The sequence below is a fragment of the Homo sapiens genome, chromosome 1, assembly GCF_000001405.40.
Source record: "Homo sapiens chromosome 1, GRCh38.p14 Primary Assembly".
Classification (NCBI taxonomy): Eukaryota; Metazoa; Chordata; class Mammalia; order Primates; family Hominidae; genus Homo; species Homo sapiens.
Window position 1 is genome coordinate 246,381,192 of NC_000001.11, and position 24,759 is coordinate 246,405,950.

The 24,759-nt window shown below is 41.2% G+C and overlaps 1 protein-coding gene across 7 annotated transcripts in view, besides 1 other annotated feature; it reads right to left on the reverse strand.

Moving 5' to 3' along the window:
- SMYD3 (SET and MYND domain containing 3) overlaps positions 1-24,759 on the reverse strand; it is a 757,933-nt gene that overhangs the window by 631,845 nt on the left and 101,329 nt on the right. The window contains exon 1 of one of the 7 annotated variants that reach the window (XM_047428019.1): positions 8,888-10,029. The exons of the other annotated variants lie outside the window; for them this stretch is intronic. Coding sequence (XP_047283975.1) covers positions 8,888-8,979 — 92 coding nt within the window. The 5' untranslated portion in view covers positions 8,980-10,029. Of the gene's footprint in view, positions 1-8,887; positions 10,030-24,759 lie in introns of those variants that run through there. 7 annotated transcript variants of the gene reach the window in all.
- Positions 5,242-5,442: a silencer, noted in NCBI's record as "peak812 fragment used in MPRA reporter construct". NCBI's record gives its function as "represses an SCP1 promoter by STARR-seq MPRAs in K562 erythroleukemia cells {active_cell/tissue: K562}" and the evidence as "EXISTENCE:reporter gene assay evidence [ECO:0000049][PMID:32103011]".

Genomic DNA, 24,759 nt, shown 5'->3' on the forward strand with positions numbered 1-24,759 from the left:
CTCAGTCACATGGCCATGTCTAGAAAGTCGGAACATTTCATTCTTTAGCTGGGCTTACTGCCACCTCGAATAAAACTGAAGTTCTTTTATTAAAGAAGTGCCCAGCGAATATCTGGTAGATAACCAGCAGTTTTTCCATAAAAAAATAAAAACAAAACCTATTATGATACCTGAAATTATTTTAACAGGTATAAATGATAAACTTGGGATGGCATTAAAGTGATTAAAGACACTACCTGGTGAGAAACAGAGGCGAACAGAGACCAAGTTTATCGATGCTTTTGTGTAAAGTTGCATACACAAACCGCAATCAAGTCAAAACAGAAGACTTGAAGATGTTCTCATACCATGAAGGAAGACCAATGAACTCAGACTGGTCAATGTACTGGAGGCAACAAGGACTTCCTTAGAGGAGTGAGTACATCCAGTACCTCTTTATATCGCCATCCATGTCTCCCGCAGTGCCCTGCATATTTTATACAGTGAATAAATGTTTGCTAAAGAAACAAATGTGTTTACATATGGAAGTATTTTCAACCAGGCCTTCAACACCAATAACTGTTGACACTTTTAGAAGAAAATCAAAGCAGCCCCTGCAGCCTCAGACTCCTCCAGCTGTCACCTATGGGATCCAGCCTCCAGGCCAACCGCAGGCTCCAGGCCAGCTCCTGTAGCCCCAGACCCCTCCAGCTGACACCTATGGGATCCAGCCTCCAGGCCCACCGCGGGCTCCAGGTCAGTTCCTGTAGCCCCAGATCCCTCCAGCTGACACCTATGGGATCCAGCCTCCAGGCCAACCGCGGGCTCCAGGTCAGTTCCTGTAGCCCCAAATCCCTCCAGCTGACACCTATGGGATCCAGCCTCCAGGCCAACCGTGGGCTCCAGGCCAGCTCCTGTAGCCCCAGACCCCTCCAGCTGACACCTATGGGATCCAGCCTCCAGGCCAACCGCAGGCTCCGGGCCAGTTCCTATAGCCCCAAACCCCTCCAGCTGACACCTATGGGATCCAGCCTCCAGGCCCAACGCAGGCTCCAGGCCAGCTCCTGTAGCCCCAGGATTCAGACTGAAACCCAAAGACTCAGCCTCCGGGCCCAGTCCAGCCCCATGTCAGCCGCTACAACTCTAGGTTCCAGGCTCACTAGAATGCCAGGTCAGTCCTCACAGCCCTAGACTCCAGGCCAGCACCCATGGACCCACGCTCCAGCAAACCCAGGACCCATGCCCACTCTATAGACTCAGAGTCCAGGCCTGCCTCAGTAAACTCAGCATCCACAGCCTTAGGCACCAGGCTAGCACCTGTGAACCCAGGCTCCAGACCAAGCCCCGTGGACCCAGGCTCACCCCAGCACCAGGCCAATCCCAGGCTCTAGGCTGGTCCCTGTGACCCCAGACTCTAATAGACCCAGGATCCAAGCTCATTCCAGCAGACCCAGGGTCCAAGTCCACCCTGGTCAACCCTAGTGCCAGGTTGCCCCACAGATCCAGGCTCTAGGATTGCCCCTGTGGACCCAAGATCCAGACAGGTCCCCACAGGCCCAAGAACCAGGTCTCTTTCTGCATACTCAAGCTCCAGGCTCACCCCAGCACCAGGCTAACCCCCATGGACTCAAACTCAAGGCCCATCCACATGGACCCAGGCACCCAGACAATCCTAGTGCCAGGCTGGCCCCCACAGACTCAGGCTCAAGGCCCACTCCAGGGCCAGGCTGGCCAGACTTCAGGCCAGCCCCTACAGACACATGCTCCAGGCTCGCACCCATGAGCTCAGTCAACAGACTCACCCAGTGGACCTCACCACCAGGTTTCCCCCATGGACCCGGGGTCTAGTCCTTCAAACCCAAGATCCAGACCTGTCCCAGTGGGCCCAGGCTCCAGACCCACCCCCATGGACCCAGGTCCCAGGCCTGCCCACCTATTGACCCAGGCACAAGGCTAGCCTGCCCAAGAACTTGAGGTAGCCCTCCTTCCCTCAGGAGGCGGAAAGAAGGCAAATTACCTTACAGGCATGAAAGACACCAAAGGAATCATCAACTTGGCCTCTGTTTACACAGCAGGATCTACCAGCTGGGAATGCATTTGAATGAGTGTTGGGGATGGGTAGATCAGAGATCTCAATATTCAGTAAAAAGAATCTTTCTGAGAACGTTCTCCTCCCAAAAGGGCAGAAGGCCACAACTACTGAAACACAAAGCCTGACTTCATTTGAGAGACTGACTCCACCCCAGACCAATGAATCAGAATCTACATCTTAATCAAATGTCTAGGTGATTCATATTGCACTAAAGGTAGAAAAGCACTGGTCTAATATACAACAACAACAACAAAAAGCCATATCTGAAATGGAATTACAGACAATTATTTTGGATATGAAGCCTCTTTGGTTTAAAAATGCATTATCCTTTAAACTGCAGGCAGCAAGAGGTAATACATCACATGAAATAAAAGCTGTTATGATGCTTTTTGGAAGATGATCAAAATATCAAGATGGGGTCAGGCATGGTGGCTCATGCCTGTAATCCCAGCACTTTGGGAGGCCGAGGTGGGTTGATCACTTGAGGTCAAGAGTTCTACCAAAGTTAACAAATAACTCCTTTCAGCAAAACCCTGCTCCTTTTTCTTAGGCCAGAATAAATGCCAACATGTTTGTTTCTCCTGCCATGTTAAATATATTACAAGCTTGCTAGCTTTCACTCTGTTATTGATATCTTCAATACATGAAGAGGAAGTGCAAGATAAACAGAAACATTTATAGTCAAGGGAAACACAAAGGCATTAAATAAAATTAAAAGATCTGGAATGGTGAGTCTGATTAGTCAGGGAGCAGACACCTGGTGTCTTAGACAAAACAACCATTAAAAAAAAGGAGGATGGAAAATGGAATGACTCACTTTTACTATATATGTATCTCATATGAAGTATTTTCTTCTGGGTAAACTAGAAAATAAAATGCAACTATTTTGGAGCAATATTATAATATGGAAGCTGAGAGATAATTATCCTTCAGATATCTTTTTCTGTCAGGCTAAATAATGTGTTTCTTCATCTTTCCCTAAAATCAGGTCTCATAAACCTTCAGAGTTTCCATTTCATGTATAGGTTGAGACTAAATTTAGAAAAATCAGGTCCCATAATGTTCTAAACAGAGATGGACACACACACAAAAAGAAAATGTAACCATTGAACAAAATTAGATTATATTTAGAAACAGAATTTTTTTTTTTTGAGACAGAGTCTCACTCTGTCGCCCAAGCTAGAGTGCAGTGGTGCCATCTCGGCTCACTGCAACCTCCGCCACCCGGATTCAAGCAATTCTCCTGCCTCAGCCTCCCAAGAAGCTGGGATTACAGGTGCCCGCCACCACGCCCGGCTAATTTTTTGTATTCTTAGTAGAGACAAGGTTTCACCATGTTGGCCAGGCTGTTGTCAAACTCCTCACCTCAAGTGATCTGCCCGCCTCGGCCTCCCAAAGTGCTGAGATTACAGGCGTGAGCCACTGCACCTGGTCTAAAAATAGAAATTTTATGTGTGTATATATATCAATAAAAGTATCACAATTACTGTCCTTAAAAAGCCTAGGTTTGGAAGAAAAATTATAATGGGAAACATACTGTGACAGCTCAGTAAAAGACAACTAAGGTAGTTAACTGATTCTCCTATTTACTATCTGTCAAAAGACATTATTTGTAGTAGCTGAATTGAGCTGATTTTCTTCATACCTCAGAAATATTTCACCCATGGGACATTACATAATATTCTCTAGGACTTACGCAGTGATAAATACCTGACCAAATTTATAATAAAGAAATCTTTCATTCATACATTTAAAAAAAATGAAACAAATCAAAATCATGCAGGATAAAGCTTAGGTATTTTCTGCCTAAGAATTTTACTGAATAAAATCTTACAAGACTAGGTTTTTCCTATGTGCTCAAATATTGAAAATTTATCTTTTGTCTCCAGCATGTCTTTCAAACTGAATTTAATTGGTAAATTATTTAAACTATGTGCATAACACAATACTTACTTGAAAATTGATCTGAGTGAATCATGAGCATGTAACATTTGAGACAGAGAACTACATGCGAATTTTAAGTACTAGGAATAAATTGAAATACTTCGGATATGCCCATTTCCTAAGTATACTTAGGATATACCCATTTCCTAAGTATTTCAATTTATTCTTAATACTTAAAATTCACATGGCACTACGGGCTTTTAAAGTATTTTATAAATATAAATATTTTAAAAATATTAAAATGTTATAAATATTAAGCCTTACTGCATTTCTGCTCCCACCTCAAATCTGTGTATACTGCATTAAGTCATATTCCTAGGAGAGAAAGGACCCACCTTCTGTAACTTAAAATTAACACTAGAAATGTTTCCAGTAAAGGAAATAAAAAGAATTATCTGAGTGAAAGAATTCAGTAAAGAACCCCGTATAAATAGTACTGCCCTCCAAACTGTGCATTATATTGTCTATGAACAAGAAATGAAATGGACATGGACCATCAAAAGCGGGAACTGTGTAGAGCGGTGCTTTTCAAACAAATCACTTTTTTAAAACAAACACAATCACTAAAAATGCAGATTCTAACTCAGTAGGTCTGAAAGTGGGGCTTTTCTGCACTTGTAACAAGCTTCCAGGTGATGCTGATGCCTCCTGTCCACGGACCATACTTTGAGTAGGAAGGCAGTAGAACACATACACCTTTTTTTTTTTCCGCCACTCTTTCGCCCAGGCTGGAGTGCAGTGGCACGATCTCGGCTCACTGCAAGCTCCACCTCTTGGGTTCACACCATTCTCCTGCCTCAGCCTCCCAAGTAGCTGGGACTACAGGCACCTGCCACCACGCCCAGCTAATTTTTTGTATTTTTAGTAGAGACAGGGTTTCACCGTGCTAGCCAGGATGGTCTCGATCTCCTGACCTCGTGATCCATCCGCCTCAACCTTCCAAAGTACTGAGATTACAGGCATGAGCCACCGCGTCTGGCCTAAAATACATACATGTTATCTGGAGGTGCGAAAGCCCAGTGCCAGAAGACCACCAGTTAGGTTTATCGGCTTGCTACAGTAAAAGGAGAATGCGTACTCTAGGAAACTGGGCATTTCTGCAAAGGGGAGTTAAAATGAACTTGCTATAGAGATTGTGTTTTCTACTGGGTGATATGGGAGAAGGTAAAGAAAACAGAAGTCTGTTGTGAATTCAGTGTTGTCAGGAACCAAAGATTACTGGTAGACTAAACATTTTAATAATTTTTATCCAGGGAGCAGGAGGAACAAAGAGGCGCTAAAGTTGATAAAAAAGCAATTGTCAGCCAGGTGCAGTGGCTCATGCCTGTAATCCCAGCACTTTTGGGAGGCTGTGGCAGGAAGATTGCTTGAGGCCAGATGTTCCAGACCATCCTGGCCAATAGTGAGATTTCACCTCTGTTATCTTTTAATTGTTAAAAAAAAAAAAAAATTGTCAGTCACTCATGTTACTGAGGAGACCATATAAGAACTGAGACTGACCCAAGAACAACAAACTATGTTTTACCTCTTGGTCTCTATAGACAATATGACAATGAGAGAAAGGGTGGGAGAAATTGACCACTTATTACATAGTTTACCCCTCCCGCCGTGTATGATGTGAATCCTGTTATACATTATAAGATTGTTATACAATCCTATGTTATACAATGTTATACTTTCTGATATAAAAAAAAAAAACCTTTTTGTGCACAGAATATGAAAAAGGGACTACACAATAAGCGAGAGTCTTCGAGGTATAGGCCAGTACATTAATATCCTTTGGGGAACTACCTATGTTATATGACTCTCATGAAAAACGCACAAGAAAAGCAGATAGAGAATACAGCAAGCAGACTGCTTTGCACACGGTAAAGGGCAGTGCTCAGAAATACTATTAAGAAATAATATTACCATTTAGAAGCTTCCTTTAAATGAAAATAACTGTGGATAAATATCCCTTCTAACCACCGCATGAGGCAACGTACTTAGCATATGGTATACGGTATGAGCTTTAGACATGGACTGAGAATCTTGGCTTCACACTTAATATTTATAATATTTAGAGGACAACTTAGTTAACTTTTCTAGCTTCAGACTTCTTATCTATAACATGGAGGCAACACTGTTAACTTTGTTTTAAGGAGTAAATAAAATATGCAAAACATTTAATGTATTAAGTACCTCACAGTTGGCCCTCAACGGCATTTAAAGTGAACATGGTACCAAACCAGATTCAAAATGCCAGTTTAACATTTATTCATCCCACAGATATTTGTTACCATGTGCCAGACATTGTGTTTAGAAAGAAATGTAATATTTTAAAAGTACCTGGCTTCCTGGAGTTTACAGTCTAGCATAAGGACAATTAATCTGACAATAGAAAGCACAGGATATTACCAGAACACAGAGCAGAGAGACCTGAAGCAAAGCAGCAGTGTGAGGCAGGGAAGTCTCCTCGGAGGAAGAAAACCTGAAGGAAAAGTAAGAGTTCTGAAGGACTTCTAGTTACAGCTATGTGGAGAAGTCAGTAATTTGTTACTATATAAAACAACTATAAAATTTGGAAAAAATTATATTAAAAATAACATTTCAGAGCACTGAAAATAGACCAAAGCAGAGAACAAATGAAAAAGCATTCATTCTTGAAAATCACCTCGAGGTTGAAGTCAGTTTCTGGGGACCTCCTTGTAGAAAGCATTCATTCTGGAAAATCACCTCGAGGTTGAAGTCAGTTTCTGGGGACATCCTTGTAGAAAGCATTCATTCTTGAAAATCACCTCGAGGTTGAAGTCAGTTTCTAGGGGACCTCCTTGTAGAAAACATTCATTCTTGAAAATCACCTCGAGGTTGAAGTCAGTTTCTAGGGGACCTCCTTGTAGAAAGCATTCATTCTTGAAAATCACCTCGAGGTTGAAGTCAGTTTCTAGAGGACCTCCTTGTAGAAAGCATTCATTCTTGAAAATCACCTCAAGGTTGAAGTCAGTTTCTGGGGACCTCCTTGTAGAAAGCATTCATTCTTGAAAATCACCTCGAGGTTGAAGTCAGTTTCTGGGGACCTCCTTGTAGAAAGCATTCATTCTTGAAAATCACCTCGAGGTTGAAGTCAGTTTCTAGGGGACCTCCTTGTAGAAAGCATTCATTCTTGAAAATCACCTCGAGGTTGAAGTCAGTTTCTGGGGACCTCCTTGTAGAAAGCATTCATTCTTGAAAATCACCTCGAGGTTGAAGTCAGTTTCTGGGGACCTCCTTGTAGAAAGCATTCATTCTTGAAAATCACCTCGAGGTTGAAGTCAGTTTCTGGGGACCTCCTTGTAGAAAGCATTCATTCTTGAAAATCACCTCGAGGTTGAAGTCAGTTTCTAGGGGACCTCCTTGTAGAAAGCATTCATTCTTGAAAATCACCTCGAGGTTGAAGTCAGTTTCTAGGGGACCTCCTTGTAGAAAGCATTCATTCTTGAAAATCACCTCGAGGTTGAAGTCAGTTTCTGGGGACCTCCTTGTAGAAAGCATTCATTCTTGAAAATCACCTCGAGGTTGAAGTCAGTTTCTGGGGACCTCCTTGTAGAAAGCATTCATTCTTGAAAATCACCTCGAGGTTGAAGTCAGTTTCTGGGGACCTCCTTGTAGAAAGCATTCATTCTTGAAAAATCACCTCGAGGTTGAAGTCAGTTTCTGGGGACCTCCTTGTAGAAAGCATTCATTCTTGAAAATCACCTCGAGGTTGAAGTCAGTTTCTGGGGACCTCCTTGTAGAAAGCATTCATTCTTGAAAATCACCTCGAGGTTGAAGTCAGTTTCTGGGGACCTCCTTGTAGAAAGCATTCATTCTTGAAAATCACCTCGAGGTTGAAGTCAGTTTCTGGGGACCTCCTTGTAGAAAGCATTCATTCTTGAAAATCACCTCGAGGTTGAAGTCAGTTTCTGGGGACCTCCTTGTAGAAAGCATTCATTCTTGAAAATCACCTCGAGGTTGAAGTCAGTTTCTAGGGGACCTCCTTGTAGAAAGCATTCATTCTTGAAAATCACCTCGAGGTTGAAGTCAGTTTCTGGGGACCTCCTTGTAGAAAGCATTCATTCTTGAAAATCACCTCGAGGTTGAAGTCAGTTTCTGGGGACCTCCTTGTAGAAAGCATTCATTCTTGAAAATCACCTCGAGGTTGAAGTCAGTTTCTGGGGACCTCCTTGTAGAAAGCATTCATTCTTGAAAATCACCTCGAGGTTGAAGTCAGTTTCTGGGGACCTCCTTGTAGAAAGCATTCATTCTTGAAAATCACCTCGAGGTTGAAGTCAGTTTCTGGGGACCTCCTTGTAGAAAGCATTCATTCTTGAAAATCACCTCGAGGTTGAAGTCAGTTTCTAGAGGACCTCCTTGTAGAAAGCATTCATTCTTGAAAATCACCTCGAGGTTGAAGTCAGTTTCTAGAGGACCTCCTTGTAGAAAGCATTCATTCTTGAAAATCACCTCAAGGTTGAAGTCAGTTTCTGGGGACCTCCTTGTAGAAAGCATTCATTCTTGAAAATCACCTCGAGGTTGAAGTCAGTTTCTAGAGGACCTCCTTGTAGAAAGCATTCATTCTTGAAAATCACCTCGAGGTTGAAGTCAGTTTCTGGGGACCTCCTTGTAGAAAGCATTCATTCTTGAAAATCACCTCGAGGTTGAAGTCAGTTTCTAGAGGACCTCCTTGCCTCAGGCTGCTTCTACCCTACACTCAGCTGCCGTGGTGAAAACTTTGACAAACTTGGGGCTGTCTGCAAAAGCCAGTATCTTTGCTACCAGAAGGGGCAGATCTGCTGCGGGATGGGGGGCAAAACTCCAGGTCTTTATCAGCTAAAGTAGCAAATGTGGTGGGAGACAAAAAGGGAAAAACCTTACCTTTGTTCCCTAACGCTATAGTCCAAGTTGGGGCAAGTGGTAGGAGGATCCCTTGAGCCCAGGAGTTCACGGCTACAGTGAGCTATGATCATGCCACTGCACTCCAGCCTGGGTGACAGAGCAAGATTCTGTCTCCAAAAAAAAAAAAAAAAAAAAAAAAAAAAGCAAACTCCATAAGAAGGAATACTGGAAATTGTTGATATGTAGGTAAATATAAAAGCCTGTATATTATATACTGTATTTTTAATTTCTTTACAAATCCTAAGATTGGCTTAAGGTAAAAACCATTATTCAGTGGATAACATATATAGATGGACAGTACATGACAAAAATAGCACAATGCAGAATGGGGAGGGATGAAGCTGTATGGGAACAAAGTTACCATACTTCACTAGATTAAGTAACTATAAAACTTTCAGATTATGCTATGTTCAAGATTCATCCTGTAATCCTTAAAGCAATGCTATCCAACAGAAATATGAGAACCATAAATATAAGTCACATATATAATTTTTAATTTTCTAGTAATATTTTAAAGGTTTTTAAAACATGAAACTTTAACAACATATTTTATTTAATCCAACATATCCAAAGTATTATGACAACATATAATCAATACAAAAATTATGAATATTTTACATTCCCTATTAAGTCATTGAAATCTGATTTGTATTTCACTTTAGCACACATAAATTCAGACTAGCCACATTTCAAGTGCACAACAGCCACATGTAGCTAGTGGCTACTGCAGTGGGCAGTACAGCACTAGAGCAACAACAACAACAACAACAGATGACTTTTAAAAAAATCAACAGATGAATTAAAACGGTACACTCCAAAAATATTTAACGCAAATGTAATAGAAGAACAGAGGAAGACAAAAAAGACATCAAACCTATAGAAAACAAAAATCAAAATGGCAGACATAAATCCAACCATATCCAAAATTACATTAAGCATGAATGTACCAAACATTCACATCAAAAGGAAGAGACCATCAGGCTGGAGTTTTAAAAGCAAGCTTCAGCTGGGTGCGATGGCTCATGTCTATAATTTCAACACTTTGGGAGGTCAAAGTGAGAGGATCACTCGAGGCCAGGAGTTCAAGATCAGCCTGGGCAACTAAGCGAGACTCTATATCTGAAAAAAAAAAAAAAAAGGCACAGTGGCATGCACCTATATTCCTAGATACATGGGAGGCTTAAGTAGGAGAACTGCTTGAGCCCAGGAGATAAAGGCTACGGTGAGCTTTGATTCCACCACTGCACTCCAGCCTGAGAAACAAAGCGAGACCTTATTGAGAGAGAGAGAGAGAAAGAGAGAGAGAGAAAGAGAGAGAAAAAGAGAGAGAGAGAGAGAGAGAAGGAGAGAGGGAAAAAGGAGAGGGGGAGAGAGGGAGAGAAGGAGAGAGGAGGGGAAAGGAAAAGAGAACCAAAAATGCAAGACTCGACCATATTCTGTCTATAGGAGATATATACTAGATTCAAAGATACAAACAAGTTCAAAAGAAAACAAACCAGTAATCATAAGAATGCTGCAGTGACTATATTAATATCAAACAAAATACACTTTAAGACACACATATTACTAGAGACAAGGAGGAACATTTGATAATGAAAAGTAACACATTTCATAATGAAAAGCTAAATATGTAAAAAGGAGAGAGGGAAGAATTTTCTGAGCATTAAAGATCCAGAAGCAAGAGAGGTGCTTTCCTATTTGGTACTCCCGTCTCCAGCTGTTCATATCACATTCCCAACTCCTATCAGCACAACCCATGGCAGCATCCTATAAATCTCATCTTACCCCGAACATTCAATGTCTTCAAATTCCTATGCCTTTGAACATACCCTTGCACTATCCATAACACTGACCTCAATATTTGCATCAGAAACTCCCACTCATCCCTCCAGTTTCAGCTTATCACCAAACCCTTCTCTGAATACTTCACCGAAGCTTGCAAATACCTACAATAAAGCTCTCATTGCTCTCCAACTATCATTTGAATTTCCCTCCAGACTTTCATCCTTTTTTTTTCCAGTTTGCAGCATCAGGTTCTATCACAAAACATGACACATAATAGGCATTCGGTAAATGCTTGCTAAATGAAGGATAAACGAACAAATGAACAATTGAACACATGTAGGAAGGACCAAGGTTGGTGAAAATGGGAGTTGAAGATTTTTTTCACAACTCATATCAGAGGAATTAAAATAGAATGACCAGGAAACATGAAACGCATGAAAGAATTACTTTAGGCAATAATAACAATAATAACCAACATGAGAGGAGCACTCACTATGTGTCAGGTACTGTGCTAAGTATTTCACATATATCAATTATTTCAATCCTCATAATAACTCCATTATGAAGGACTACTTTTGAGGGGGTTTTTAGACACAAGATCTCACTGTCTTGCCCAGGCTGGAGTGCAGTGTGGCTCACTGCAGTCTCAATCTCCTGTGCTCAAGCGATCCTCCCAGGTTCACCTCCCGAATAGCTGGGACTACAAGAACACACCACCACATCCAGCTAATTATTAAATTTTTTGTAGAGATGTGGTCTCACTCTGTTGCCCAGGCTGGCCTTGAACTCCAGGCCTCAAGTCATCCTCCCACCTCCACCTTCAAAAGTGCTGGGATTATAGGTGTGAGCCCACCATGCCTGGCCTTGAAGGTACTAGTTTTTAGAGATGGTTCAACAGCAAAAAAAAAAGAAAAAGAAAAAGAAAAAAAAAAAACTCAATTAGAATAAAGAAACATTTCACTAAAAGAAGATACACAAATAGTCAATAAGCATATAGAAACATGTTCAACATCATCAATCATTATGGAAATAGAAATCAAAACCACAAAGACAGGCGACTTCAAACACACTAGAAGGCTGTAGTTTAAAAAACAGAGAATACAGGTGTTGACAAAAATGAGAAGAAAGATCCCTCATACTTACTGGTGGGAAAGTAAAATGGTTTATCACTTAGGAAACAACCTGGTAGTCCCACAAATCGTTAAATACTGAGTAATTATACAATCCATATAATGAGTACAAGTTTTATTTTAGAAAGAAGGAAAATGTTCTAAAATAGGTAATGGCTAAACAACTCTGAGACTATGTTAAAAAAAATACACAGAACTATACAATTTAAATGAGTGAAGTATATGAGATGTGAATTATATCTCAATGAAGTTCTTTTTTTAAAAAACTAACTTAAAAAATGTTTAAGCTTGACCATTATAATCCAGTTACTCAGTGACAGAACCAGAGGCTGCCTGATCCCGTGTTCAGGATTCCTACATACATCACAAAATCACTAAGAGAAGCATCACAATTAGCTCATTTTCAAAAAGGACTTCATCTATTTCTCTCAACCAAAGCAATACATTCTAACATAAGCACTTTGTGTACTGATGTAATATTTCTCAAAAAGTTAAACAGCATGAGAAATTTATAATATTAGATAAAATTACAGGCTAGGCATAGAATTGCCTAGTGGCTCATACCTATAATCTTGGCACTTTGGGAGGCCAAAGTAGGAGGACTGTTTGAACCCAGGAGTTTGGGACCAGCCTGAGCAACATAGCGTGACCCCCATCTCTAAAAAAAAAAAAAAAAAAAAAAAAAAATTTAATTAGCCAGGCATGCTGGCAGGCACCTGTTATCCCAGCTACTTGGGAGGCTGAGGTAGGAGGACTGCTTGACCCTGGGAAGTGAGGCTGCCGTGTGCCAAGATCGCGCCACTGCACTCCGGCCTGTGCAAGAGAGCAAGACCCTGTCTTTATAAAAAAATCTAAAAACAATTGTCTTATTTCTAACTCTGAACTACTTTCTATGCTTTGGTGACATCTATGGTGAAAATTGAAAACTAGCATTAACAGCTAGAAAGAAGCAAAGGATTTTTCCACATGAATTCCATCTTTCTTAGCTTTGCTTTTATTTCACAGAAACAGAAAATAAAGAAAACCTAATCAGTTAAATTACTCCTCTCTGGTGTCACATCCTAATAAATAACTGTTATCCTTATGTCCTTCAAGAAAGAAATGATACTAGTAGGACAATCATGTATGTTTTCTGATTACTCTTATCAATAAGTACCTAAAATATTAGGCAAACTAACTCATATATAGCACAGCTATGTAGTATGTATAACTGACAAAACCCAAGATCTCTAACACATTGGAATGTAAGTATTCATTTCCTTTAAGAATAGAATCCAAACAGCTGTTTCTCACCAATATACACTGTGAGAGAACTCCTGTGTACCTCCTTGCCATAACGAAAGGAAGTTTAACCCCACAGTACACAAACCTCACTGCACACACAAGATCCTGATGTCAGAACACCAATACTGAGGGGCGTACAATGTAAACATACAGCAGGAACCTATGGCAGAGGCCGAACCTTAATCATTTCCACCAACCTTTGGAATTCTGCTTTGGATTTCACTGGAACACAGGCTTTTGACAGAGAAATCAGAATATTCGAAAACAAGAAATCACCAATATCAGGCTCTTAAGTCCTATTGTTGTAAAGACTGAACAATGAACATAGCAGCAATCAACTCCCAAACTTAGCTATGCTTTATTATATGAGAGCCTCCCGAACTCAGCTATGCTTTATGATATAAGAGAGGCTCCCGAACCTAGCTATGCCTTATTATGTGAGAGGCTCCCAAACTTAGCTAAGCTTTATGATATTTGAGAGGCTCCTGAATTCAGCTATGCTTTATGAGATAAGAGAGCCTCCCGAACTCAGCTACTCTTTATTATATGAGAGGCTCCTGAACTCAGCTATGCTTTCTTATATAAGACAGACCCCCAAACGTAGCTATGCTTTATGATATGAGAGGCTCCCGAACTTAGCTACACTTTATTATATGAAAGGCTCCCGAACTCAGCTATACTTTATGATATGAGGCTCCCAAACTTAGCTATGCTTTATGATATAAGAGAGGCTCCTGAACTCAGCTACACTTTATGATATAAGAGAGGCTCCTGAACCTAGCTATGCTTTATGATATAAGAGAGGCAATTCGGTCACTTGTTGGGTAGAACCTCCTGGGACAAGCAGTCAACAGCAAGAAAGCAATTCCTGCTCCCTCCATTTTAAAACAGAAGGCTCTATTTTTACCACTATCCCCAAGCAACCAAACCAGAACCAAATAGCATGGATCTTTTGGAACGAGGAAAGCTCTAAATGCCAAAGTCCAAGTGTAGAAATATATCTTAACATTTTGCTCCATCCTTCAAATGTTTCAATGAAATGTTTCAATGCTGTCTGAATAGCAACCTCAATACCAACATCTCTCATGCAGTCCAAGTGGAAATGTTCCGTTTCTTCTATTTTCCTTCAGCCTGAGACAAATTGATTCTTTTCAAAGAGTCATTTCAATCATCCTCACGGGTTCTCTTAAAATAGACAAGGCAAAACCACTGGCTGTTACGTGCCTCTCACAAGTTCCACCTTTTTCACAAGTGGACAATGTGCACTACTACTGCGAGTGGACCCCCACGGTCAGACAGGGAAGAGGAACCCACCATGGCTGGACAGGGAAGACGAACACACCACAGTCAGACAGGGAAGACGAACCCACCACAGTCAGACAGGGAAGACGAACCCACCATGGCTGGACAGGGAAGACGAACACACCAGTCAGACAGGGAAGACGAACCCACCACAGTCAGACAGGGAAGAGGAACCCACCATGGTCAGACAGGGAAGAGGAACCCACCACGGCTGGACAGGGAAGACGAACCCACCACTGTCAGGGGAGAGGAGCCCGATCGCTGCCTCTATGCTCTGCCACCACCTAGTGAATAAGAACAAGAAAATCACATGGCAAGAGCCTGCAGACGTCAAGACACCTATGATAGACACCTAAGATGATAGGGTGGCTTTTAAAACCTGATTTTAAGATTACAAGGTTAGCTAAATATCTGAGGTAGTTTACCAGGAAAAAGAAAAATGTTTAGAGGAAGAACTTGGTCAAGAGCCTTTATGAGAGTGAGGGTCACTATATCTCATCATGTAAGGGGCCTTAGGAACACACCCCAAATTATCGGACAGTCTAGAAAAATACTATTTACTTTAGGATGGAAGTATGAGTTGCTCATATATAAATGACAGAAATAAATTAGCTTTTGCAAATTGGGCTTTATAGGTATACGTACATCAATATCCTACTGGTACATGTCTCCATTTTTCTTGATCCTATACTGTTTGGAAATTTTAGTGTTAGCTTCTCAGCTAGCTGATTATTCATTATCAAAGCTTTTTTGTTCCCAACGGCTCACTTACTAATTATATATCAAACCACAAAGCTCTCGAAGTTTCTGCTCCCTCCTTAGCATCCTATCTGGACCATCAGACAGCTTCTGGATCAGAACTGGATATACATCATCAACGCACACTGGACTAATTCAGGATAACTTTCCTAAGACCAAAGAACAAACTATTATGCAACATCGGTTTATTTTGATACTTAAGATAACCAGTGCTTTCATATACTCAATGATATGGTTTGGCTCTGTGTCCACACCCAAATTTCAAGCTGAATTATAATCCCCAGTGTTGAAGGAGGGCCTGGTGGGGCACGACTGAATCATGGGGCACATTCCCCCTTGCTGTTCTTGTGACAGTACGTTCTCACGAGACCTGGTTGTTCTCCTGCCAGCCATGGTGAGATGTGCTTGCTTCCGCTTTGTCTTTCACTATGATTGTATGTTTCCCAAGGAAGCAGAAGACTGTATGGCCTACAGAATCATTAGCTGATGAAAGCTCTTTTCTTTATAAATTACCCAGTCTCCCATGTGTCTTTATAGCAGTGTGAGAACTAATACACTCAACAAGTACAAAAACTACGGCTTAACCACAGCAACAATATTTATTTACCAAGCATGGCTGAAGATACTAAAGGAGTGTGTCACTGTGATGTAGAATTTCTAGAGATTAGGAATCCTTAGGATGGGTATGCTCTTCGGAAAACTGTACCATCTCTTTGCCTGTTCATGGACCACTGTCAGTCTGTTGCCTGTTAGAAACCTGGCTGCACGACAGGAGGTGAGTAGCGGGCAAGCAGGCATTACCACCTGAGCTCCACCTCCTGTCAGATCAGCGGCAGCATTAGATTCTCATAGTAGCATAAACCCTGCTATGAACTGTGTGTGCGAGGGATCTAGGCTGCACACTCCTTATGAGAATCTAATAATAAATGTAATGTGCTTGAATCATCCCAAAGCCATCCCCTGTCCTCCAGTCTGTGGAAAAATGATCTTCCAAGAAACCAGTCCCTGGTGCCAAAAAGGTTGGGACTGCTGGTACATCATATATTAGCTCTGTGACCTTCTTAACTATTTCAGATGATACCTTTTGTGCTCTCGGTTGAAAAACCATCTCCGAAGATAGGAGCTATTTTAACACAGCTATCCTAAATTCCTTACTTATCCATCATGGAAAAAAACAAATGTTTATTATTGCCAGGCCCTCAAGAAGTGAATGGTCTAGTAGGAAAAATATACCTAGACAGATGTAGTCACCTGATGGGTTCTTCTTGCCTGCTGCACAGATAGAGCTGATTCAGAGACAACAGTATAAATGACAGCAGTGGAGAAAGAGGTTACAAACACAGAGCCAGCCAAGCAAAAGAACAGGAGTTTATTACTCAAATCAGCCTCCCCACAAGCTCGGGGACCAGGGCTTTTCAAGGATAATTCAGCAGGCAGGGGGACAGGGAATGGGGAATGCTGACTGGTTTGGGATGAAATCATAGGGGTGTAGAAAACAGGCCTTGTGTGTTGAGTCGGCCTCTGGGGTGGGGGCACAAGACTGGTTGAGTCATAAAAAAAAAAAAAGCAAGAAAAGAAAAGAGGAGAGGGGAGGGGAGGGGAGAAAGAACAACAACAACAACAACAAGACTGGTTGAGTCCTGGGTCGTGGGTCTGGGTGGAATCCGTCAATCACTAGAATGCTAAAGTCTGAAAAACATCTCAAAAGACCAATCTTAGGCTCTACAATAGAGACGTCATCTGTAGGAGCAATTGGAGAAGTTACAAATCTTGTGATCTCCGGAACAATGGCTGGTTATGGTCTAACTATCCCTACATCTCAGCAGAATTTCAGGCTCTTCCCATCATCCTAATCTCATCGGCTTTCATTAATTTTACAAAGGCAGCTTCAGTCCCTGAGCAAGAAGGGAGTTAATTTGAGGGAGGGACTGTTTTCATCCTTGCTCCAAGGTTAAACGACACACTCAATTCTTCCCGTGGTTAGTTTGGCCCACGCCCAGAAATGGGCAAGGACAGCCCGCCTGTGAGCTTAGAAGGCGGAGTCAGCCATGCTGGACTTCTCTGTCATAATCATTGCAAAGCTGGTTTCATAGATGAGAATCTATAATAAGGTATGGTAAAAGCTACCATAGAGAGATGTACAACATGCAGTGGTGATGACCTCTACTTGGGAATAGCTTCACAAATGAAATACTTAGAGTGGTTCTTAAAGGGCAAGGGTTAAACCAGGCTGACAAGGAAAAGCATGTACAATGGTAAACAGTACATTCAGGGGACTGTAAATAGTATAGAGTGACTGAAGCACAGAGCACAAAGAGGGAGACACTGGGGCTCAGGTTAGTCAGATCAGCAGGAGCCAAAAGGAGGAGGAGACTGGAAGAGAAAAACTGAGAATGAGGTATGCACAATGGAGGAAGATAAACAGGTGAGAGCATTCACAGAACCCAAAGAAACAGAATTCAAGAACTAGTGATGAGTCTGACAAGAGCTATATAAAATAGACAGTATCAAACAACATCCAACACCCAGCCCTCTTTCTACTATTAATAAAAAGACTGATTGCCCAGCGTAATTAGTCATACCATAAAGGAGTAGATAGTTGTAGATTTTCTCTTGAGATTTCAACTGTACACAAATTTTTCATATATTTTATTTTTATTTTATCTTATTTATTTGTTTTGAGACAGAGTCTTGCTCTGTCTCCCAGGCTGCAGTGCAGTGGCATGATCCTGGCTCACTGCAACCTCCGCCTCCCAGGTTCAAGCGATTCTCCTGCCTCAGCCTCACAAGTAGCTGGGACTACAGGCATGTGCCACCACGCCCAGCTAGTTTTTTTGTATTTTTAGTAGAGACAGGGTTTCACCATGTTGGCCAGGCTGGTCTTGAACTCATGGCCTCAAATGATCCACCTGCCTCGGCCTCCCAAAGTGCTGGGATTACAGGTGTGAGCCACCTTGCCCAGCCCCATATTTTATTTTTATTTATTTATTTTTGAGGCACAACCTCATTCTGTCACCTGGGCTGGAGTGCAGTGGCATGATCACTGCTCACTGCAGACTCCACCTCCCAGGTTCAAGCAATTCTCCCGCCTCAGCCTCCCAAGTAGCTGGGACTACAGATGTGTGCCACCATACCTGGCTAATTTTTGTATTTTTTTTACTTCTTTGTACTTTTGGGTTTTTCCACATTGCCCAAGCCGGTCTCGAACTCCTGGGCTCAACTGATCTGCCCGGGTCAGCTTTCCAATAGTGCTGGGACTACAGGCGTGAGCTACCATGCCCAGCCTCTCATTTTTAATAGATACTATTTTAAAAAGTACTGTGAAAAAGAAACAAAAATGAAAAAGACACATGCCTATCCTTAAGGAACTTATGTCCTACCAAACTATAAAGTAAGCCATACCATTTATGGATTTGTAGCAACATGTCATCCTGTCAACTTTATTACTGAGGCTATGAGATGTATTAACATTGGCTTTCAAATTATTTGTATTAGCAAACATAAAATTCAAGCATAGAAATTGAGTCTGATCTAAAAATCAGCAAATTACAATTATGAATTTGTTATATTCTCACTGTATCCACGTCCTCAAAACTCTGACATTAGCAAGCCATTAAACAAGACCACTAAGATTACATTAATTTTATACTAAAGTTGTATGCTAAAATTTTCATCTTTCTCTGTTTCATCTTTCTCTGTTTTCCCAAAAGAAAAAAAAAGGTAAAGATCAAAAGTTATATATTTCAGATATATAATCCTAAAAAATGCTCCATTGCTAGGTGACTAATTTTAAGACACTGCCATCAGTTTAACAGGTCACTCGTTCATTTATTCATCTAACATTTATTTACCCACATACTGTGATAGGCAGTGAGGAATAAGCACAGAACAGAAACAGTGCCTGCCTTCACAAAGCTTAGTCTAGCAGGATAGTAACTTAAGACACTGAAACAGTATATTAAGTGCCTTTTACAAATATTCTTCGCAGCTATACCAGCTACTACTTGCATTTCAACATTTTATTTCAAAGCCATTATTTATTTGTTTGTTTATTTTTTTTGAAATGGTGTCTTGTTAGGTTGCCCAGGCTGGTCTCAAACTCCTGGGCTCAAGCAGTCCTCCCGCCCGAGCCTCCCAAGTAACTGGGATTACCGGCACATGCCACTGTGTCTGGATCCAAAACCATTTTTTTAAAATTATTTCAGTGTTAAGACAACTTTAAGAAACAATATTATGATTGGTATCGGTCATTAATTGTGCTATTTTATGACTTCAATCTTTTGATGCAGTATAGTTTCCTGGCCATTTCCAATAGAAAATTCCTTGCCCCTTTCAGGCTACTGTAGTTGAGATACAAGACTTGAGATATTTTTCTAAGAGAAAACAAAACAAACAAAGCAGCCAAGAGAAACAATATCAGCCATGTAATAAAATACCCAATGTACTTTATTTCATTATCCTAGGCAAATAAAAAAAAAACCACTATGAATTATACAGTATACAAATATGTTTTCTTCGGAAAACACTGAAAAACAGATTCATGTGGAAAGAAATTACTTTATTCCTACCACTGTCTTTTTCAGACACACTCAAAATTCATAAAATTCACAAAATCTGAAGCTCATAAATCAAAAGAAACTGTTCATACATCATGAACACTATACTAACTTTTTAAAAAGTATTCGAGGCAGCTGAACATCATCACAGTATCTTAAGACTCATATTTCCTTAGATTAATTCAGTGATCACTTTCAAAGCAAAGCTTTTTATGAAAGCTAAAATAAAATTTCTAGGTAACCAAGGAGAGTCTTTCAAATGGAAAAAAGCTGATGATATTAAACTCTAAAAAATAAGGCCCAGGCATGGTGGCTCACACCTCTAAATCTCAGCACTTTGGGAGGCCAAGGCAGGAGTATCTCTTGAGCCCATGAGTTCAAGACCAGCCTGGGCAACACAGCAAGACCCCATCTCTATTTAAACTTTTTTTTTTTTGAGACACAGTCTTGCTCTGTGGCCCAGGCTGGAGTGCAGTGGTGCAATCTCGGCTCACTGCAAACTCTGCCCCTCAGATTTAAGATATCCTCCTGCCTCAGCCTACCAAGTAGCTGGATTACAAGCATGTGCCACCACACCTGGCTAATTTTTGTATTTTTAGTAGAGATAGGGTTTCACCATGTTGGCGAGGCTAGTCTTGAACTCCTGACCTCAGGTGATCTGCCCACCTCAGCCTCCCAAAGTGCTAGGATACAGGCATGAGCCACCATGCCCAGCCTTAAATTTTTAAAAATAAAAAATAGAGTATGTAATAATCATATAAAGTTCTAAAACATCCAGTAGCAATGTTCTTAAATCCCAGTAATTCAGGTGCTTTTTTTTTTTTTTGAGCCAGTTTCACTCTTGTTGCCCAGACTGGAGTGCAATGGCACGATCTTGGCTCACCACAACCTCCACCTCCCAGGTCCAAGCGATTCACCTGCCTCAGCCTCCCGAGTAGCTGGGATTACAGGCATGTGCCACCACGCCCGGCTAATTTTGTATTTTTAGTAGAGATGGGGTTTCTCCATGTTGGTCAGGCTGGTCTCGAACTCCCGACCTCAGGTGATCCGCCCATCCCAGCCTCCCAAAGTGCTGGGATTACAGGCGTGGGCCGCCGTGCCTGGCCTCAAATACTATTTTAAGATTGTTCATCCATAATACATTGTAGTCTGAAAGAAGAATAACCTCTCTAAACAGTACCTATTACCTTCATCCTCTCTTTTTCCAATATAATGGCAAAAGACAGAGTTGTGATATTTTTACTGTAATCACAGAAACATCAATTCAACATATATAGGATTAGCATATCACACATTTCAGCAAATATCAAAATACAGATGTTTCTTCATCCTGATGAACAAATTTATTATTAAACTTGCCAACTATTTTCCAAATTTATAAAAGACCATAATAAAATGTGAGGCAAAACTGTTCAAACCAGTTAAAATGAGTCTCGATCAGCTAAAATGATTAACAACGCCATCTTAAAGATGATCCCATATCTGAGCACGTGATACCTCTGTGATTTCAGGGCACAAATCCCTCTATCCATCAAACTAAATAGAAGGGTTAGAGAGGTTAATCGAGACAGAGTGTCTGTAACAGACTTCTGCATTTCATTCTCCACTCAATATACTTCAAACATCATTGAACTATTTGTTATGTTCTTATGAATCAATGCTCCCTTCACAGTCAAGATAGAGGCTAGAAGCCACTGTGTGAAGTAATAAAGCTTACCTTTGCAAATCCTCATCAAGCTGATCTGATGATTAAGTCTATGTGAGGCTTCCTAAACAACTGAAGTGTAATCACAACTTTAATTAGAAGCTCAAATGGCACTGCTAAACACCTAAATAAAACATGAGCAAGTACAATAGCCACCTGCAACGAGCAATGCCATTTTCCAGCCTCCATTTACTATAAAGAGATTTTTCTCTATTCAGCTGCACAATCACTTGGGCTACATGATCTCTGGCCTAGCAATAGCAGTCAATAATTTAAAATCATGAAAATAAATTTTCAATCTATACTTAAGTTCTATTATGCACTGGTGGTAGTCAAAAATGTCACAGACTGAATAAAAATGAAGCTCACTCATTTGCTAGGCTGGCACCCCATTCTACCCGAACTGTCCATTAAGAGTCACCATTAAAAACAAACAAAACTCATATGGCAAACTTCTGATAAACCAATTTACTCTATTTGTGGCTGATTAAGGGTGATCCTGGACTACATGGCTTTTTTAGTTCCTCCCTGACTAATGGAAAATTACTAGAAGAGTAAGGACTACACAGAACTAGTTGCATAAATTACAGTTGGCCAGGTGCAGTGGTTCAGCCTGTTATCCCAGAAATTTGGGAGGCCTTGGTAGGAGGACTGCTTTAGGCCAGGAGTTTGAGACCAGCCTGGGCAACATAGTAAGGCCCTGTGTCTTAAAAAAAAAAAAAATTTAATTAGCCAGAAATGATGGCACATGCCTGTAGCCCCAAGTACTCGGGAAGTTGAGGCAAGAGGATTGCTTGAGCCCAGGAGTTAAATCAGATGGCATTAGTGATGGTTGCACATACCAAGAAAAATATATCCCAGTTTCCTTCTTTACTCCCTGTTTTAAACATATATCCTATCTTCCTAGTTCATCTCCTCTGGTCTCTCCTTCTATGAGATATGGATAATTTATTCCCTATCCTTGCTGCCTTCTAACAGTAGTATAAGAGAAGGTATAATCAGTGGTAAGAACATTTAACTAGGAAATAACCCAGAGGTCCACTGACAGAAAAACTGATAAAGTGTGGTCTATGCTATACCACAGAATATCACAAAGTGGTGAAAATTAATAACTAATGCTATGTGCAATAACACATACATGCTGAAAATGTAATGCTGAGCATTTTTAAATTTCATAAGACTATATTCAGCAATGATACCATTTATAGGGCTCAAAAAACAAGAAATATATATCCGTGTTCAAGCACACATACATTTGTGACAAGCATAGAAAACATATACAAAGCATGTGAAACGTCTCAGATACCCTGATTCAAAGTCAAGGGTCTCATGGAAATTTATTCAGGTTTGGATGCACACCTGACTTGGCATGTATGCTGCTCTACATAGGACACACCCAACACAACCAACCTAGTGTTGCTCTAAGGCCGCTAACCTTTAAAATAAATAAAGCCAGCCAGCATATCACCCTTCATTGACCTATCTTAAATTCGAATCACAATGATAGCTGTAAGTGGAAATTTTTTGCTTTTCGTTATAAAAGCTTTACACATACCCTGGTGGCCACCGCTGCTGAGGTCAGCAGCACCACGGCAGCTGTGAAAGGTTAGCAGTTTTGTTTTTGTGTGTTGAGGCCTTGGCTCAAGATCCCATCTGTGCTGACTTCAGACTGAAGGGAACACATTTCCTCCAGCCTGAAAACTGAAACATATGCCGCAATAATTAGAGCTTCCTTGAGTCAGTTCAGCTGAACCCAGGATGCTGAGACTGATAACCTGTGAGCACACTAGAAGACTTCACATACGGCACCCACCTGCTAGACAAAGACAGACATGAAGACATGGCCACGAGGCCTCCATATCCAAAAAGACAGAAGTCCCATCATCTATATGTATTATGTCTATATCTGCTTGCAGACTCCTGCTTCTGCTAAAAAGTACAGTGAGGAGTTTGCAAGTTAAAGAGACAGAACTAAGTCAACAAAACTGCAGCATTTAGAAAGCCCCTGCAAGCACTTGATCTCTGCGTCCTCTTTACTTGATCTCTGTGCCCTCTTTACGTGATCTAGACTTGTGCTCTCCAATACTGGCCACATTTGGCTAGTTAATGAAAATTCAATAAAATTGAAAATCAACTTCCTCGGTCACATTAGCCACATTTCAAGTGATCAATAACCACATGTGACTACTGGCTGATTACCATATTGGACAGAGCAAGTATAAAACCTTTCTTTCATTACAGAAAGTGCTTTGGGCAGTCCTGACTTAGACACTAATCCACTTTTTTACTCTTATTATATTGACTCATAATAATTGTAAACATTTATGAGGTACAGCATGATTCTTTTTTTAGACGGGATCTTACTTTGTCACTCAGGCTGAAGTGCAATAGTGCAATCACGGCTCACTACAACCTCAACCTCCCAGACTCAAGTCATCCTCCCACCTCAGCCTCCCAAGTAGCTGGGACTACAGGTGTGCACGACCACACCTGGCTAATTTTTATATTTTTTGCAGAGATGGGGTTTCAACATGTTGCCCAGGCTGGTCTCAAACTCCTGGACTCAAGTGATCTGCTCATTTCAGCCTCCCAAAGTTCTGGGATTACAGGGATGAGCCACCATGCCTGGCCATACAGTATGATATTTTTACACGTATACACAATGTGTAATGATCAAATCAGAGTAAAGTAGCATATCCACCACCTCAAACATTTATCATTTATTTGTGTTGGTAACACTCAAAATCTGCCTTTCTAGCTACTGGAAAATATACAATACGTTGTGGTTAATAGACACTAATCCACTTTTAAAACAAAACCAAAACCGCCACCAGCATGCTGAACATCAAAATCCCAGAGCTAGCCAGAAAATGTCAAGGATTAGTCACCCAGCACAATTAATCTGAGATGGTCCACAGGCTTCCAGGGTTGAGGCTTCTCTTAAGTGGTGTCTTTATTTTATTTCATTGTTTACTGTCGCACAGCGATTAAAAGAATGGACTCTGAGGCCAGGTGCAGTGGTTCACGTCTGTAATCCCAGCACTTTGGGAGGCCGAGGCGGGCGGATCACGAGGTCAGGAGATCGAGACCATCCTGGCTAATACGATGAAACCCCGTCTCTACTAAAAATACAAAAAAAATTAGCCGGGCGTGGTGGCGGGCGCCTGTAGTCCCAGCTACCCGGGAGGCTGAGGCAGGAGAATGGCGTGAACCCAGGAGGCAGAGCTTGCAGTGAGCCCAGATGGCGCCACTGCACTCCAGCCTGGGCGACAGAGCAAGACTCTGTCTCAAAAAAAAAAAAAAAAGAAAGAAAGAAAGAAAAAAGAATGG